We start from the raw sequence: 15,606 nt of genomic DNA, 5'->3' as shown, positions 1-15,606 counted from the left end.
AATTTGACATGCTTGTTACCGTATGCCACTGAGACTTTGAGGTTCTTTGTTTCAGAGCAAGCATTTGAGTTTTCCACTATTCATTTAATAAAGCTCTGGTGGCTTCACAAAAGCTTTAATCTGTCCTACCTTTCTTGATTCTCACCTTGGTGTCCCCTTTCCTGACTCCCTGCTGGGACGTGGTTCATCTCTTGCAGTCACAGCTCTCCTAGATCCCGGGGCCTGATCTGGGGCAGGACGGATTGAAACAGCTCCAGCCCCTCCTCCCATTGCCTAACTCCATTCACTTGGGAGGCCAGTCCAGCATGATCAGCACTCAAGTATGAATGTGGTGTTTCTTACTTATACCTGAGCCCAGTATCAATCAGGTGCCCTTCCATTCTAACATTCTAATTCACATGAATTAAATAATTTGTTATATATATATATATATATATATTTTTTTTTTTTTTTTTTTTTTTTTTTTTTGAGATGGAGTCTCGCTCTGTCACCCAGGCTGGAGTGCGGTGGTGTGATCTCAGCTCACTGCAACCTCTGTCTCCTGGGTTCAAGCGATTCTCCTGTCTCAGCCTCCTGAGTAGCTGGGATTACAGGTGTGCACCACCACGCCTAGCTAATTTTTCTATTTTTAGTACAGATGGGGTTTCACCATGTAGACCAGGCTGGTCTTGAACTCCTGACCTCAGGTGATCTGCCCAGCTCGACCTCCCAAAGTTCTGGGATTACAGTGTGAGCCACCATGCCTGGCCTACTCAACATATTTTATTGGACAGCTACTATATGCCAGTCTTTTAAAAGCGAACTCTCCTTTTTTTTAAAAAAAAAAAAGAAAAGAAAATACTTGGTTGTTTTCATGTAAATCACCCCGTGCAGTGCCTGATATGTCATTGGTGATCCCCTGATGGCAAACACATTGTTATTTTAGAAAATAGTGTAATAAAATCTTTTTGCATAAATCTTGGTTTCCATTTTTAAAAACTTCTTGTATTTTTAATGATAAAAGTAATGCATGTTTTAACATACTAAAATATCAAATTACATTTAAATTTTAAATTAATTGACAGGAGCTTGTTTTTCATATCTCCCAGGGAACTGTCTATTGGGTAAAATGAGGCTCAGTTTTGTATTATATGCTTAGCACTGGGCCTGGCACAGGGTAAACTCTCAATTTAGCGAGTGGAGCGAGGCTGCCACTGTGCAAGTCCAGGTTGGCTGGAACTCCTGCCAGGAACACTGAAATGGCCTCCTAACTGGTCTCCCCTCCTCCAGCCTCTCCGTGCACTGGCTGATTAATTAATTCAAGCCTGATTAATTAAAGTGCATTTCTGATCCTGTCTCTTGATGCTCCAAGCCCTTCTGTGGCTCCCCATTGCCTTACTGACTCTTTCTTTCTTTTCTTTTCCTTTTTTTTTTTTTTTTGAGACAGAGTCTTGCTCTGTCACCAGGCTGGAGCACAGTGGCACAATCTCAGCTCACTGCAACCTCCGCCTCCCAGGTTCAAGTGTTTCTCCTGCCTCAGCCTCCCAAGTAGCTGGGACTACAGGCGTGGGCCACCACATCCAGCTAATTTTTGTATTTTTAATAGAGAGGGGGGTTTCACCATGTTGGCCAGGATGGTCTCAATCTCCTGACCTCGTGATCCACCTGCCTTGGCCTCCCAAAGTGCTAGGATTACAGGTGTGAGCCACTGCACCTGGCCTTTACTGACTCTTTCTAACTTGCTTTAAGGCTCATAAACATCTAACCTGAAACGACTTTTTCAGCCATTTTCTCTTACTCCTCCTCATGAATGCTGTACACACGAAGCGCACAGTTCCTTGAACACACCCCTTACTTTGCACCTTCTAGGTCTTGCTTAAGTTCTCTCCTGTGCTGGTAATTCTTCTCCCTCATCCTCATGCGTCCACATCCTCCCCATTTGTGTGATCTTCTTAAATACCTCTTCTCCATGAACCCTCTTCTGATTTCTTTAACTGGAATTAACCATGCTTTCCTCTGCATGCCTTACTGCAATCCTTTCTTTGGATCAGGGTTTCTCCAGCTCAGCTCTATTGAGATTTGTGGGCTGGGTAATTCCTGGTTGTGGGGAGCTGTCCTGCACTGTTTAGGATGTTTAGCACCATCACTGGCCTCTACCTACTAGAGGCCAGTAGCACCCCCTCCACCCAGTTGTGACAACCAACAATGTCTGCAGACATTGGCCTAAGTGTGCTGGGAGGCAGAACTGCCTCCTCTCAAAAACTGGTCTAGAGTAAAAATTATGCAATAAATCCCCTGCCACACTCGGGGTTTGCATCTTGCTTAGGAGGATGCTACCTAAGCACCAGGCCCTTTTAAGCCTCCAAGCCTCTGTTCATGCTGTTCCCTCTCCCAGGAATGCCCTTCCCCTCCCTCCTTCATCTGATGATTTCCTCCGTAGCCTTCAAGGCCTGGATGATATGCCATCTCCTCTTGTCACCTTTCCCAATCTGCCTTCTCTTCCCCAGGCAGAATGGATGGCCCTGCTCCCTGAGTTCCCACAGCACTTTGCACAAACCTCAGTCACAGCCCTCACCAGACCATGTGCCATGTTATACAAAAACAGTTGAAATAATTGTGTCCCCAGGTAGAATGTGAGTTGTGGTGTGGCAAGGACCTTGTCTGGCTGAGGCCTCTCCAGGTGCGGCAGGGCCCTGTACCACCTCCTATTGGTATAAGATGATAAAGCAAAAGGCAGTGCACAGGAGTGGTTATGCATATCTAGAAGTTCTGGAACAACAGTGCCTGGGTTCATGCTCATCCCTCTGCTCAACTCTCAGAAGCATTTACTAGTTGTGTGATTTTTGGGTGATACATTAAACTCTGGAGGTTTAATTTCCCTCTCTGTAAAAATGACATTGTAATAGCATCTACTTTACTGGATTATTTCAAGGATTTAGTATATTAATACATAGAAAATGGTTGCCAGGTGCCTGGTACACAGTAAATGCTTGGTAAATCTTGATAATTAATGGAGAATGAATGAATGGGTATGTTGAGCTGGGTGATGAGGGAACACAGATCTCACAGGCTGTTATACCAACTCTGTAACAAGGGTGCTATCCTTGAGACCGAAGCCTCTGCCCCTCTCCTGCCCCTTCCAGCTGTCCTCACCCCATCCTCCCCAGCCTGGGCAGTGGGCACCGGCTGCTCAGGGAGTGAGAGCTGTGGGCTCGCTTCACAGTGAGGTAGCCAGGCTGGGCGGAACAAGGGCAGACATTAAAAACCTATTTTCTCACTGGGCATAAGTAATTGGCAAAAAATCTCTAAATCCATAGCTGCCAGGTGAAGTCATTTCCGAGAGAAAAGGATGGAGGGAGAGAGCAGGAGGAGGGCATGGGTGGGAGCCAGAGGGAGAGAGCAAAATGCAAAACCAGGAGCTGGTGAGGCCAGGACAGAAGCCTTCTCCTTTCCTCTTCCAGACCAGGCTGTTCTCCTCACTTCCAACCCACCCTCATTTATTGTTTTCTTTTCTGGAAAGAGGCTTCTAAGGTGGTAAAAGCAAAGAAAGTCGTCCATGGGATTATTTAATGAGTCAGAATGAATTGCATTGAAAATCCTTTAAATGGGATCTGGGAGCATTTAACTGCAGCTTGGGATCTTAACTAGAGTGGGAAAGGATCTTTGTGCTAATTGCTGGCAATAATATTCGTACAGAGAGGGAGAGATAGCAGCGACCAATTGGTAGACAGAGGGGTAGTTTCAGGGTCTGGCCCACTTGGCTATGAGACTGAGCACCTTGGTGCAGCCATCTGGGGAGTCCAAGACCCCCAGCAGGAGACAGGCAAGGCTTGGGCCCCACAGGGAGGGGAAACTGTGGGGGTGAGATGAGGTGAGGTGAGAGTGGCAGGGGAGACCCGACCTGGGCTTCCAGGAGTGGAGGCAGGGCATAGCATCCTTCCGAAGGATCAGCATTCCCAGGAGGAACATAAGATGAAGCTTCTAGCCTTGCATTTGTTCTAACCCCACCATCCAGAATGCAAACTTTGGACAGGCAGAAAACTTTACCTAAAGCCCAAGTGAGAGAGCAGAGACCCCCACTTTACCCATTTCAGTTTTTTCTATTCCGTTCCACTCACTGAACCTGGAGATCCCGCTGTTCGTTTCACTTTTTTTTTCTTTTTCTTTCTTTTTTTTTTTTTTTTTTTGAGATGGAGTCTCGCTCTGTCGCCCAGGCTAGAGTGCAGTGGTGTGATCTTGGCTTACTGCAACCTCTGGCTCCCAAGTTCAAGCAATTCTTATGCCTCAGCCTCCAGAGAAGCTGGAATTACAAGCATGCGCAACCACACCCAGCTAATTTTTGTATTTTTAGTAGAGATGAGGTTTCACCATGTTGACCAGGCTGGTCACAAATTCCTGGCCTCAAGTGATCCACCCACCTCGGCCTCCCAAAGTGCTGGGATTACAGGTGTGAGCCACCGTGCCTGGCCTCATTTCACCTTTAATCATCACTTTTGGCAGGGAGTGTAGGATCCTGTTCCTTAGCTTTTTGATGCACATATAACCCTGGGAAGGTATTATTAGCTCCAGTTTGCAGATGAGAAAACTAAGACCTTCAATTGGGACTTAGTTGAGGAAACATAGTTGATGAGTGACAGAAGGTGACCTAAGACCCAAGGTGTGTCCTGAACACACATCAACTAGTAGTCATTGCTTGTTATGGTGATGTTCAGATAAATGTGAAGGACAATGTCTTCTTGTCTTCCAGGATGAGTCTACAAGGCTCATACCCTAGAATCACAAATAATTATAAAAGATTAAAATGCTAACTTCCACATGAAAGATACAAGTGAAAGCCAGAGGAGAGAAGGGTTACTTCTGAATGGGTGGCCAGCAGAGGCGTCACCTTGAATATGGGTAAAATTGGGGCATGTGGGGATCTGGAAGAGAGAGACGGTAACAGAGGGCATTATTTGAACAAAGACAGGGAGGTGGGAAAGCATGAGACAAGTATTGGGAGACATCACATGTTTCTATATGTCTGGAGAGTAGGAAGAACTAGGGAAAGAGTTGGGGTCAGATAATAGAGAGTTTTGCTGATAGATTGAGTTTGAATCTCATTGTGCAGGCAGTGGGGATCTATGGATGGTTTTTGAGCTGGGGAGTAGCTGCAGTAGATGATTAATTTGGCAGTGGTGTGGAGAAAGGGCTGGAGTAGAAATAGGATGACTGCTGGAACCAGTTGGAAGTTATCATAGTACCCTACCGAAAAGGCAGTAAGTGTCTGGATGGGGCAATGGCTGTGAGATGGACAGAAGACAACCTTCTCTCTCCGTCCATCTCCATCCTTCACTCTGCCCTCAGCACCATGATGGCTGTCATGAGTGTGCTCTGAGGTCCTCAGCAGTAGTTGGACCTCAGCCTGGGTTGGAAACACAGGTCATGTACTACATGTGCATAAAATGTGGGACACAAAGCTGGTGTGGCCAGGAGGTCATCTGGTCATCAAGACCAGTCCTTGCCCTTGGCAGATGACAACCCAAACCACCCAAGACCATGTTCACTTACCCTGCATTATAACCCCCCAATCTCTCTTCTCTGGGAGGTCTGCCTTCAATCATCCTGACAGTCTAGAAAGCCTGCCCTAAGCACTTCCTCAAGTTTGAGCAGGAGCATTTTCTAACTGAGCTATTGGCAGAGGGGAAGTTGGCCTCACTAGTGTGGTTGGGACTCATCCCTGGAGTAAGGTGAATAGACCAGACCTGTTGGAGCTGGCTTTGATTCAAGTGTGGGAACAGGCGGTTGGACCTCATGAGCTTTAAGTTGCTTTCCATGCTGATTCCTAAATTTCCCTCATTGTGCTGTGGGTTCCTTTCATTCTATGCTCTGTGCCGCCTCTTTCACAGCCACCTTGTGCCTCCTGAAGGATCTGCTTCCTAGGAGAGTTGCCTGTAGAGAGATCTGAGCCTACCTTGAAGGCAGGGCATGTGTCTTGTACATATGCCCTGTAAGACTAGCAGGAGGCATGATAGAGAGAAATTTATTATTAATACAAACATAGTATTTTGCTATTATTACTAATGCTAGTAATTATTGTTAAAATTACCATTACACTTACTATGATCTGAGTATTTCAATACATTATTTGTAATCTCAAGCAAACCTGCAAGGGAGGTATCATTACTACCATTTTCAAATGAGTAAAGTGAGACTCAGGCCAAGTCACTTGTCCTCTGTGCTGCAGCTAGAAGGGGAGGCATCACGACTTTCTCCCAGGCTGGGCAGCTCTGAAGCTCTCTCCCTCTCTCTCTTTTTTAGGTGGAATTGGATGATCATAATCATGTTTCCAAATATCATCTCATGACTGGAAGAATAATAATAGCAAACCATATTGAGTGTGCTAAACTAGGGTTATTGTCCATCTGAAGGTCCCCAAAAGGATTTATGGCACAAGGGGAAGTTTGTTTATTGTTCTAATTCTGCTGATCATGCAGCTTTCCACAGCTCTAGGCCAATGGATTGGGGTGGGAGGGCCCACATTTAGTTTCTTGGGTAGACAAAGAGGTCGCTGAGAAAATGCTATCGCTCGGGGGTCTTCCGGCCCATAGATGGCGCTGTTGGACCCTGGGAAGTCCCACGGCCCAGTTGCGGAGGGATGGAGGTAGCGTTGTGGTGCAGTCCCAGCTCTGCTCTGTTAAAGGGAAGGCACAGATCTGTTTGTAAGAATGCACCTTGGAAGCAGCCTAAATGACCACCAAGATGGGCCTGGTTAAATAAATTATGATACGTCCATATATTGGAATGCCATGTAGCCATTAAAAATTTTGACATAGATTTATGTTGGTTGATATAGAAAGATATCTCACAATGTATTTTGTCGAGGGAAAAGCATGCCTCGGGACATTTCATATATATAGCATTATCCCAAAGATATTAAATTGTGTGAGACAGAGACAGAGACAGATAGCAAGCCGGATGTTCACCAAAACTATGAACAGCGTAGATCTTTAGGTTGGTGAGATTTCAAATGATTTTTACTTTAACCTTATCTGTAATGTGGGGGTTTTAAAAATAAAAAAGCATGTCTTATCTTTACAATAGGGAAAAATCAGATTGGTTTCCATTTGAAAATGTATAAACCAAACCAAACTGAATGTCTCTCTAACTCTCCCTGAAAAAAGTCTCTTTCAGAGTGTAGCCACCTCTGATGTCTCATCTGTGTTAGTGACTAGTTATTCCCTCTTCAAGGAGTGGAGACATTTGTCACCAGTGTTAGAGAAAAGCCCTAGGAGGCTTTTCCTGGGGCAGTTCCAGGGCACGTTTCACAGCTCAGGCACGGGGTGTGATCCCGGTCCTTCCCACCCTGTCTCAGCGACACCCATCGCCCCCTCCCCAGCCTCCACTTTCCATTCTCTCCTTCCACGCCTTCACCCTCTTTCTGGTGTCTCCAGAAGCTTTCATATCCACACATTCTATTCAGCAGCGAGTCCCTGAACTTTCTAATTGAGATCAGAGATAAATATAGTGGGGAACGCAGGAGGGAGAGGGAGGAGGCCTAGTTTTAATTTGCAGCACTTCCCATTAATAACAAATTCTAATTAAAAAGTCTCTGTCTTCCAGCCTCAGTCCAAGGGAAATGTGTCCCCAGGTCTGTCTGGCTGGAATCTTTGTGACAGTGAGTTCGGGGTGCAGATTTCTGTACTAGCTGAGCCCTGTCTGTCAGAAGCCATAATTAAGCTGGAAAAAAAAAAGGATGTCATCTAAGACCATAGGGATCTTCTCTTGCTGCAGTCCTAAAATGAGGCCATATGCCTTCCTTGGACAGAGGTGCTTCTGGGCTATTCCTCGTAGAGGGGGTGGCCAGCCTGGGTGTGCAATGAGGCAGATGTTCAGTGGCTGGGGAGTGTTTTTGGAGTTGCAGGAGCTAAGCGTTTTTGGAGCGCAGGAGCTCCTAGTAGAAGCGGGGAGCCTTAAGGGAGAGCCTTCTCTGCATCATCTGCAGGGCGTCTGCCTCGTCTTTGCCTTTTCTCTTCACCCAGAATTTTCTCAGTGAAGACTGCCTGATTCTTTGGTGTGTGAGCCTCTGTGTTTGTGTGTGTGTGTGTAGACGGGGTGCTCGTGCTGCTGACAGAGAAGTGAAGGCTATTAACAGTCTAAGATAGTAGGACGTGCCACTTAGTATTGATCTAAATACAAGTTTATTTTTTTTCACCAGGAACATTTTGATTCCTTGCTGAACTGAAGTAGGCACTCAGTAAATGGCTATGAATAAATGAAGGAGCGAGTGAACAAAAGGGTCCACCCTGAACTTTCAGTCTCTTATAGCCACCCGCTTACTTAGCACCTCCTCTTGGAGGTTGAATCCTTAGAAAACTAATGCAGGAACAGAAAATCAAATACCACATGTTCTCACTTACAAGTGGGAACTGAATGATGAGGCATCTCAGACTTAAGGTGTCCAAGGTCATAGGCGTGGTCCAAGGTCATGTTGCTCAGAACTTGCAGTTGCTCAGACAAGAAATCCATCAAGTGATTCCTTCCTCTCTTGGTTATAACATCCCTGACTCTACTCTTTCTCTCACATGCTGCATCCCTCATCCATGCAGCATTCCTGTTGGCTCGACCTTGAAAATATATCCAGAGTCCAGCGGGATTCTCTGCACCTCTGCTGCTGGGACTGTGGTCGGAATCCCCATTGTCTCTCTTGTGTTTGATTTCAGAAGCTTTCAAACTGTTCTGCCTGCTTCCACTCTTGTCCACTAAAGTCCATTCTAAACCCAGCAGCCAGGGGGTCCACTTACCGCCTTAGTGAGATGACCTCCCTCCTCTGCTCCGATGCCTCCACTGACTTCCCTTCTTGCTCAGAGTGGAACCCCAAAGCCTTGCGGAGGCCTCAAGCACTGCAGGGCCTGGCCCTTTTAAACCTCGACCTCACCTCCTGCTACTCTCCCCTTGGTCCTTCTGCTCCAGCCAGTTGGTCTCTCTGCTACTCCTTGACTGTGCCAGCCATAGCCCTGCCTCAGGGTCTTTCTTCCTCTGCTTGAAAGCCTCTTCCTCCAGGTGCCCACATGGCTCAATCCTGCACCTCCGAGAGGCTGCTTTCCCAGCAAGGCCACTCTGACCACCCTACTTAAAACTGCAACCCTGCCCCCTCCAGCACGTGATTTCTTCCCTGCCTGGTTATTTTTTTCATAGCACTTGCCACTTTTAATATTTTTTATTTTATTTTCTTTTTCTTTTTTCTTTCTTTTTTTTTCTTTGAGACAGAGTCTCATGTTCAAGCTAGAGTGCAGTGGTGCGAGCTCAGCTCACCACAACTCTGCCTCCTGGGTTCAAGTGATTCTCCTGCCTTAGCCTCTGGAGTAGCTGGGATTGCAGGTGTGAGCCACCACACCCAGCTAATTTTTGTATTAGCTGACGTTTTGCGATGTTGGCCAGGCTGGTCTCAAAGCCCTGACCTCAGGTGATCTGCCCGCCTCAGCCTCCCAGAGTGCTAGGATTACAAGAGTGAGCCACGGCACCTGGCCCTAATTCTTTTCCTTATTTGTTTTATTTATGCCTCTCTCCCTTTCCTCTATCCTGCTAAAAGGCAGGGTCCAGGAGGGTAGATATTTTTGTCTGTTTTGCTCACTGCCATTATTCCAGCACCCTAGAACAAGGCCTGGCTCATGCATTTAGTCAGTGAGCTGCTTGTTGGATAAATGCAGGTGAGCTAAATTATCAAGTTAAAGTCACGATTTCTTGATGTGGGAACCATAACCAAATGTAACGCAGCTGGGTTCTAGTACCTGGGAAGGGGAAAGCTACTGTAAGATGGGGCTCGGGAATCAGTAGGACCTGGGTTTGAAATCTAACCTTGTCACTTGTGAACTGTATGACTTCGGATCATACTTAACCATTCTGAACCTCCAATTTCTTCATTTATGGGGATAATGATAGGCTCTACCTTATAGGAGAGTTGGTGGAAACAATCAAAGCAGTGATATGTAGTACTTATCCCTGGCCTGGTGCATAGCAAGTGCTCAGTGAATGCTAGCTAGGAATGTTGGTGCTATTTTGTTGTTAACAGGGAACACCTTGTAAATCAGCAGTGACTGTTGACCATGAGGAAGTGAATGTCATCTTTCTCTGCAGAAAGAAGGGCTTGGTATTAAGAAAAAGGAAGGAGATGAGTCTTGTCCAGTTCCTGCAAGAGCATGGTTCTGGGATCGCTCTTTAAAAAATGAACATAAATTAATAGGAGGTGTTAAGAGGAGAGTGATCAGGATGGTGAAGGTGAAAAGACTCAAAATCATGCCCCATGATGATCACTAGCAAGATCTGGCTTGTTCTGCACCTACCGAAGAAGTTATAGTCCACAGCAGGAGTCCCCAACTCCTGGGCCGTGGACCAGTACCAGTCCGTGGCCTGTTGGGAACTGGGGCACACAGCAGGAGGTCAGCAGTGGGGTAGCTCCATTACTGCCTGAGCTCCACCTTCTGTCATATCAGCCGTGGCATTAGATTCTCATAGGAGAGCGAGAAATGTGAACTGCTATTGTGAACTGCTCATTGCAAGGGATCTAGGTTGCGCGCTCCAGGTTGCGTGATCCTTATGAGAATCTGACTAATGCCTGATGATCTGAATGGAAAAGTTTCATCCAGAAACCACCCCCTCAACCCATCCATGGAAAAATTGTCTTCCATGAAACCGGTCCCTGGTGCCAAAAAGGTTGGGGACTGCTGGTCTACAGCAGGGGTTGGCAAATATTTTTGTAAAAGGTTAGATAGTAAATATTTTAGGCTTCGCAGGCCATATGGTCTCTGTCACAACTACTCAGCTTTACTGTTGAAGTGTAAGAGCATCCATAGGCAAATGAATGTGGCTGTGTTTCAATAAAACTTTATTTACAAAAACAAGTGGAAGGCCATATTTGGTTCCAAGACCTGGGGTTGCTTAACCTTGGTCTTTAGGATCCTACCTTGAGATGGTTGAAAGAATGTTTGAAGGAGGGCTGGGCTGTTCTGAGGGTCCTCAAGGGAAGAAGTGAGGCTGAAGGTTGGAATTTATAGATCCGTAAATTTTCTTACCTTTAAGGGTGATGTTTAATTGGCCAGAGCTTCTGGCTGTGCCTAGTCAGAATGGGCTGCCTGGGGCAAAAGGCTATGAATCCTTATCTGTGGATTGTTCAGGAAAAAGCTAGGGCAGCTTGGCAGAAATACAGGAGAGTGTATTCCAACACTGGGTAAGTCGTTGATTCATTCCTCAGGGGCTTTCAAAATCTCTGCTTATCGGGATGTTCTAAAGCGTGTGCATGTTGCCATTCAGGAAAACAAAGTCGCAGATTGGGCACCTTTCCAATGAATGGGTCATTGAAATATGCAGATTGAAGACAGTCCTACTTTCTAATTATATCACCAGACAGATTTTGTGCACATATCCACAGGTGAAAACCAGCGAGAATGCATTGTCAACTTCACTTAAGATGCAATCCATCTCAGTACTCATCTGGGTCTCTCATGAAGACCCAGACACTGACTGTCAGCCATAGTCACTGTCCTACTAACATAGCATGAGGAATGCATGATAATTCATCTTCCATTTGTATCCAAGAATGGCAAACATCTGCCACAGAAGCCTCCACTCCTCTCACCTCTATGTATTTGAAAAAAATTGCTAATTGATCTTGACTGTCTTTCTTCCTGAACCTTGGCCTCAAATAGTTCAGATTCTAGAATTTTTATAATAGGAGGGACCGGGGCCAGCTGTCTCGTTGGAATAGGGGTGAGGGTGTAGGCTCAAAGCTGAAGTATGTCAAAGAATAGAGCGGAGATGAGTGAGAACCCCCAAAGACCTTCTTCTCTAGGACTTCCATGGCCCCACTACCCAGGAATTATTCACAATATCTTGCTTCAGGCATCAACTATCAACTTATTGAAGGCGGCTGTTTGTCATCTTTGGTTTGGGAAGTCCAAGGGCAACAACAGACATTTTCTAGAACTACCTAGAAGTTGGCTGGGGGACAGTATGAAGACTGTGGATAGCCTGGGATTCTCTACTGAGCATCCTGTGCAGAAAGAATCAGGATCTCAGCATCTTTGATATCATGACATCTTAATCAGATAGCAACTGGAAGTTATTCAAAACTTTTGGATTCAGGCATACCCTAAGCCAGGTGCTAGAAAATGTGAAGTCATAAATTGGTGACATTTATCTGACCTTTTTCTGTGCACTAGAAGCACCTGTGTTCATGCCTCATGAGTAGCAGAGCTGAGTGATGAGAGGAGAATGGGATTCTGGTGAGAGTGTGGGAGTGATGGACTTAGCCATGTGTCCACACTTCAAGCTAAATATGGAATGGAGGCAGGAGAACAAGGGCAGGATCAGTGGTGAATGTGTTTGTGGAGACAGGGTGAGCCCATTTGGAACATCTTCCAGGAGGGAAGCCCCAAGATTTGAGGATTTGGGGGTTAATGTGGAAATAGCCAGGGTCCTGTCCTAGAAAATGTTACCCGACATCAAACACCAAAGGCCAAGGTAACAATGTAAGTGGCAGACCAGATAGAAAGACCAACCATTGGGTGGGTTGGTTGCATAATGAAATTAGTGTGATGGATGGACTAAGGAGGGCAGTTCTAAAGCAAGGCAGGAAGTGGTGAAGGTGCTTGTGTTTGCATCTCACTTAGGATAAAATACAAAACCGTAGCCTAGGTTCCTCAATTTTGGCATTGTTGATATATTGGTCCAGATCATTCTTTGTTGTTGGGGGCTGTCCTGTGCATTGTTGGATGTCTAGCCTCTTACTACTAGATGCCAGTGGTATCTGCTCCACCATAAAAATGTTACAATAAAAAAATGTCTCTAGACATTACTAAATGTCCCTGGGGGGCAAATCACCCCCGGCTGAAGACCACTGCATAGTCTGCCCGGCTGCAGCACACAGCACATGTTATGGAATACAGAAGAGATCTGCCAGTCTAGCCTGTAATGGGGGACCTGGGAGAAATGGAATAGCCTTATGGCCCTGTAGATTTACTGGAGAGTCTCTCAGGTCCAGTGCCAGCTCCCTGCATTCCATCATCCCAACTTAGGAGTTTCACCTGCCGTAGTACATCACACATTTTCCCAATCCAGCTACTATTTTCTGGTATTGTCAATGTTTGCATGGTTTTATCCCCACAAGACTTGAAATCCCCCCAGGGCATGCCTGCATTCCTTTATCTTTGTGTTTCCAGTAGCCAGCATGGAGCCTGGCATATAGAAGTTACTCATTAAATGTTTCCCAAATGCATGCATGCATGCATGGATGAATGAAGTAGTGATTTTGTGGATCATTCCCTGGACCTCCAGCATGACAAATGGACGAGAGGCAAGACCCTGAATCATCAATGCAGAGGAGATATCAGAACTGGAAAGTGATGAGTCCTTTCCTCTTCTGGAAAACATAAGTCAGCCTAGGAATGAGGTTCCTGAGTCACTGAGGCAAAATGAACCCAGAATGGGGACAGGAGGGCCGAGCTTGGGTTTGGGACCAGGCCAGAAGGCTACGTGGTCTTAACATCCTGACAGCGGCCAACTCAAGGCCCCCTCCCTTCAGCATGGCCTGCAGCGGCCACCCTCGCAGCTCGGCTTCCCCCACGCTGCTGGTGGTTGCATAGGCCAGCAGCTGGGAGCACAGCCACCAGTTAATGGATCTCTTAAAGTGGGGACCCAGCCAGGAGCCATCAGCACAGCTCCCTACCAAACAGTCCTACTGAACCGGTTATTTCGATTAAAGGACCATTACCATGAAACCCTATCCAGCCCCAGCTCCCATTTGCCGGCAGGAGGACTTTCTCCTCCTTGTCCCAGGCCCTGCTCTGTGGTTACCCGACGGCCCTCTCACGGGGGCTCACCGCCTTCGCTAAAACACAGCAGCTGCTGCTAATAAACAAACATATTGATCATACCGATACGAGATGTCAGGGACTTAATTCATGAATGAAGTGAGCTTTAAGAGTGCCCAGTGGGAGCTGGCTCCATTTAAAGGGCCAGCAGCTGCCTGAGCACTCTTAAGGGAGGTCCAAAGAGGCCAGGCAAGATAACCTCTCTCTTCCCTGTGTCCTATGGTGTGCTGTTGGGGAGAAATGGAATCTCCTGCCCCATAGTTATCACCCTGTCTGACCCACCTTCCTCCTCCTTGATCCTTTTTGCAGCTTGGAGAGAGTCGGCTGAGGCTGCCGTGGACTCGTATCTAACAAGGGCTGGAGCCACTGTAGTGGAGGAGCAGGAGAAGAGGCTACACTAGCTCTTGGCTCAGCCTCTCAGGCCTCTTACCCTAATGATGTGATGACGGCCTTGGTCCTGAACCAGTCTCTACCAGGATCTGCTATCTCATTAGAGCAAGTGGCGTAAGCACTCTGAAAATCATGCTGAAGGGTCCACTCCACTAGTGGTGGAGTGCTTCTCCAGTACGCTGGCCCCAGCCCTTGTTAGGCACGAGTCCACTCCAGCCTCACCTGACCATCTATCTCCAAGTTGTGAAAAGGGTCCCGGAGGAGAACAGTGGAGAGTTGGGGAGGGAGATAACCATGGGATGAGAGATTCCATTTCACTCCAACAACACACCATAGGACTCAGGGCAGAGAGAAGTTCTCTCGCCTAACCTTTTTGAGATTTCCCTTAACAATGCTCAGGCAGCTGCTGGCCCCTTGGGATGCCAGAGGGCCTAGACATTTCTTCTGTAACCACTTCCAAGCCAGACAGACCACCCCCTTGATAATTTTAGCATTTAGTCAAGAGCGAAGGCTCTGTAGCCAGAGTTCTAGAATTTAAATCACAGCTCTATCACTCACAAGCTATGTGATTTCAGGCAAGTTTCTTAACCTCTCTGGGCCTTATCTATACAAAAGGTAAAATTGTTGGTGTAGAGAGTAAAATGAACCCAATATGTGCTGTGCTTGCAACAGTGCCTGGCACTTATTACATGTTCAGTAACAGTGCTCCCAGCCCCATCCTGCTGTGATGGCCACGGACCCGCACTGCATCCTTATCTCTCTGTCCCTCATGTATTCTCAGGTACCACTCAGGAGCAGGAGGTGGCTTCATGGAAGTACAACACGCTGCAAAACACGTTTCATCTTTTCTCAGTGTCCAGATGGGCAGCTTCAGCCTGAGCCCTGGCCCAGTTGCTAGCTGGAAACTCAGAGTGGCTTCTGCACCTAGGCTGAAATCTAGCCACCCTGAGCCCTCCCAGGCCTGAGCTTTGGACTGCTGTGGGAGAAGGCTAGTCCTTCAGCTCCCACAGCTCTTTGCTGTAATCCCTCCTCCTCTCGGCTTTGTCTAGAGCTGCACTGACCCAATATGGTGGCGACCACGAGTCACATGTGACTAAGTACATTTCAGTAAATTAAAGTAAAACTAAAAATTCAATTCCTTAGTCACACTAGCTACATGTGGCTACCACATTGGACACTGCAGACTATAGAACATTTCTTTTTTCTTTTTTTATTTCCCTAGAGACAGGGTCTTGCTCTGTCACCTGGGCTGGAATGCAGTGGTGTGATCATAGCTCACTGCAGCCTCAAATTCCTGGGCTCAAGTGACCCTCCTGCCTCAGCCTCCTGAGCAGTTGGTACTATAGGTGTATGCCACCACACCCTAATTCTTTTTTAAATTTTTTATTTTTTT

This window comes from Homo sapiens, chromosome 15 (genome assembly GCF_000001405.40).
Source record: "Homo sapiens chromosome 15, GRCh38.p14 Primary Assembly".
Lineage (NCBI taxonomy): Eukaryota > Metazoa > Chordata > Mammalia > Primates > Hominidae > Homo > Homo sapiens.
Note: the sequence above shows the minus strand (reverse complement) of the source record.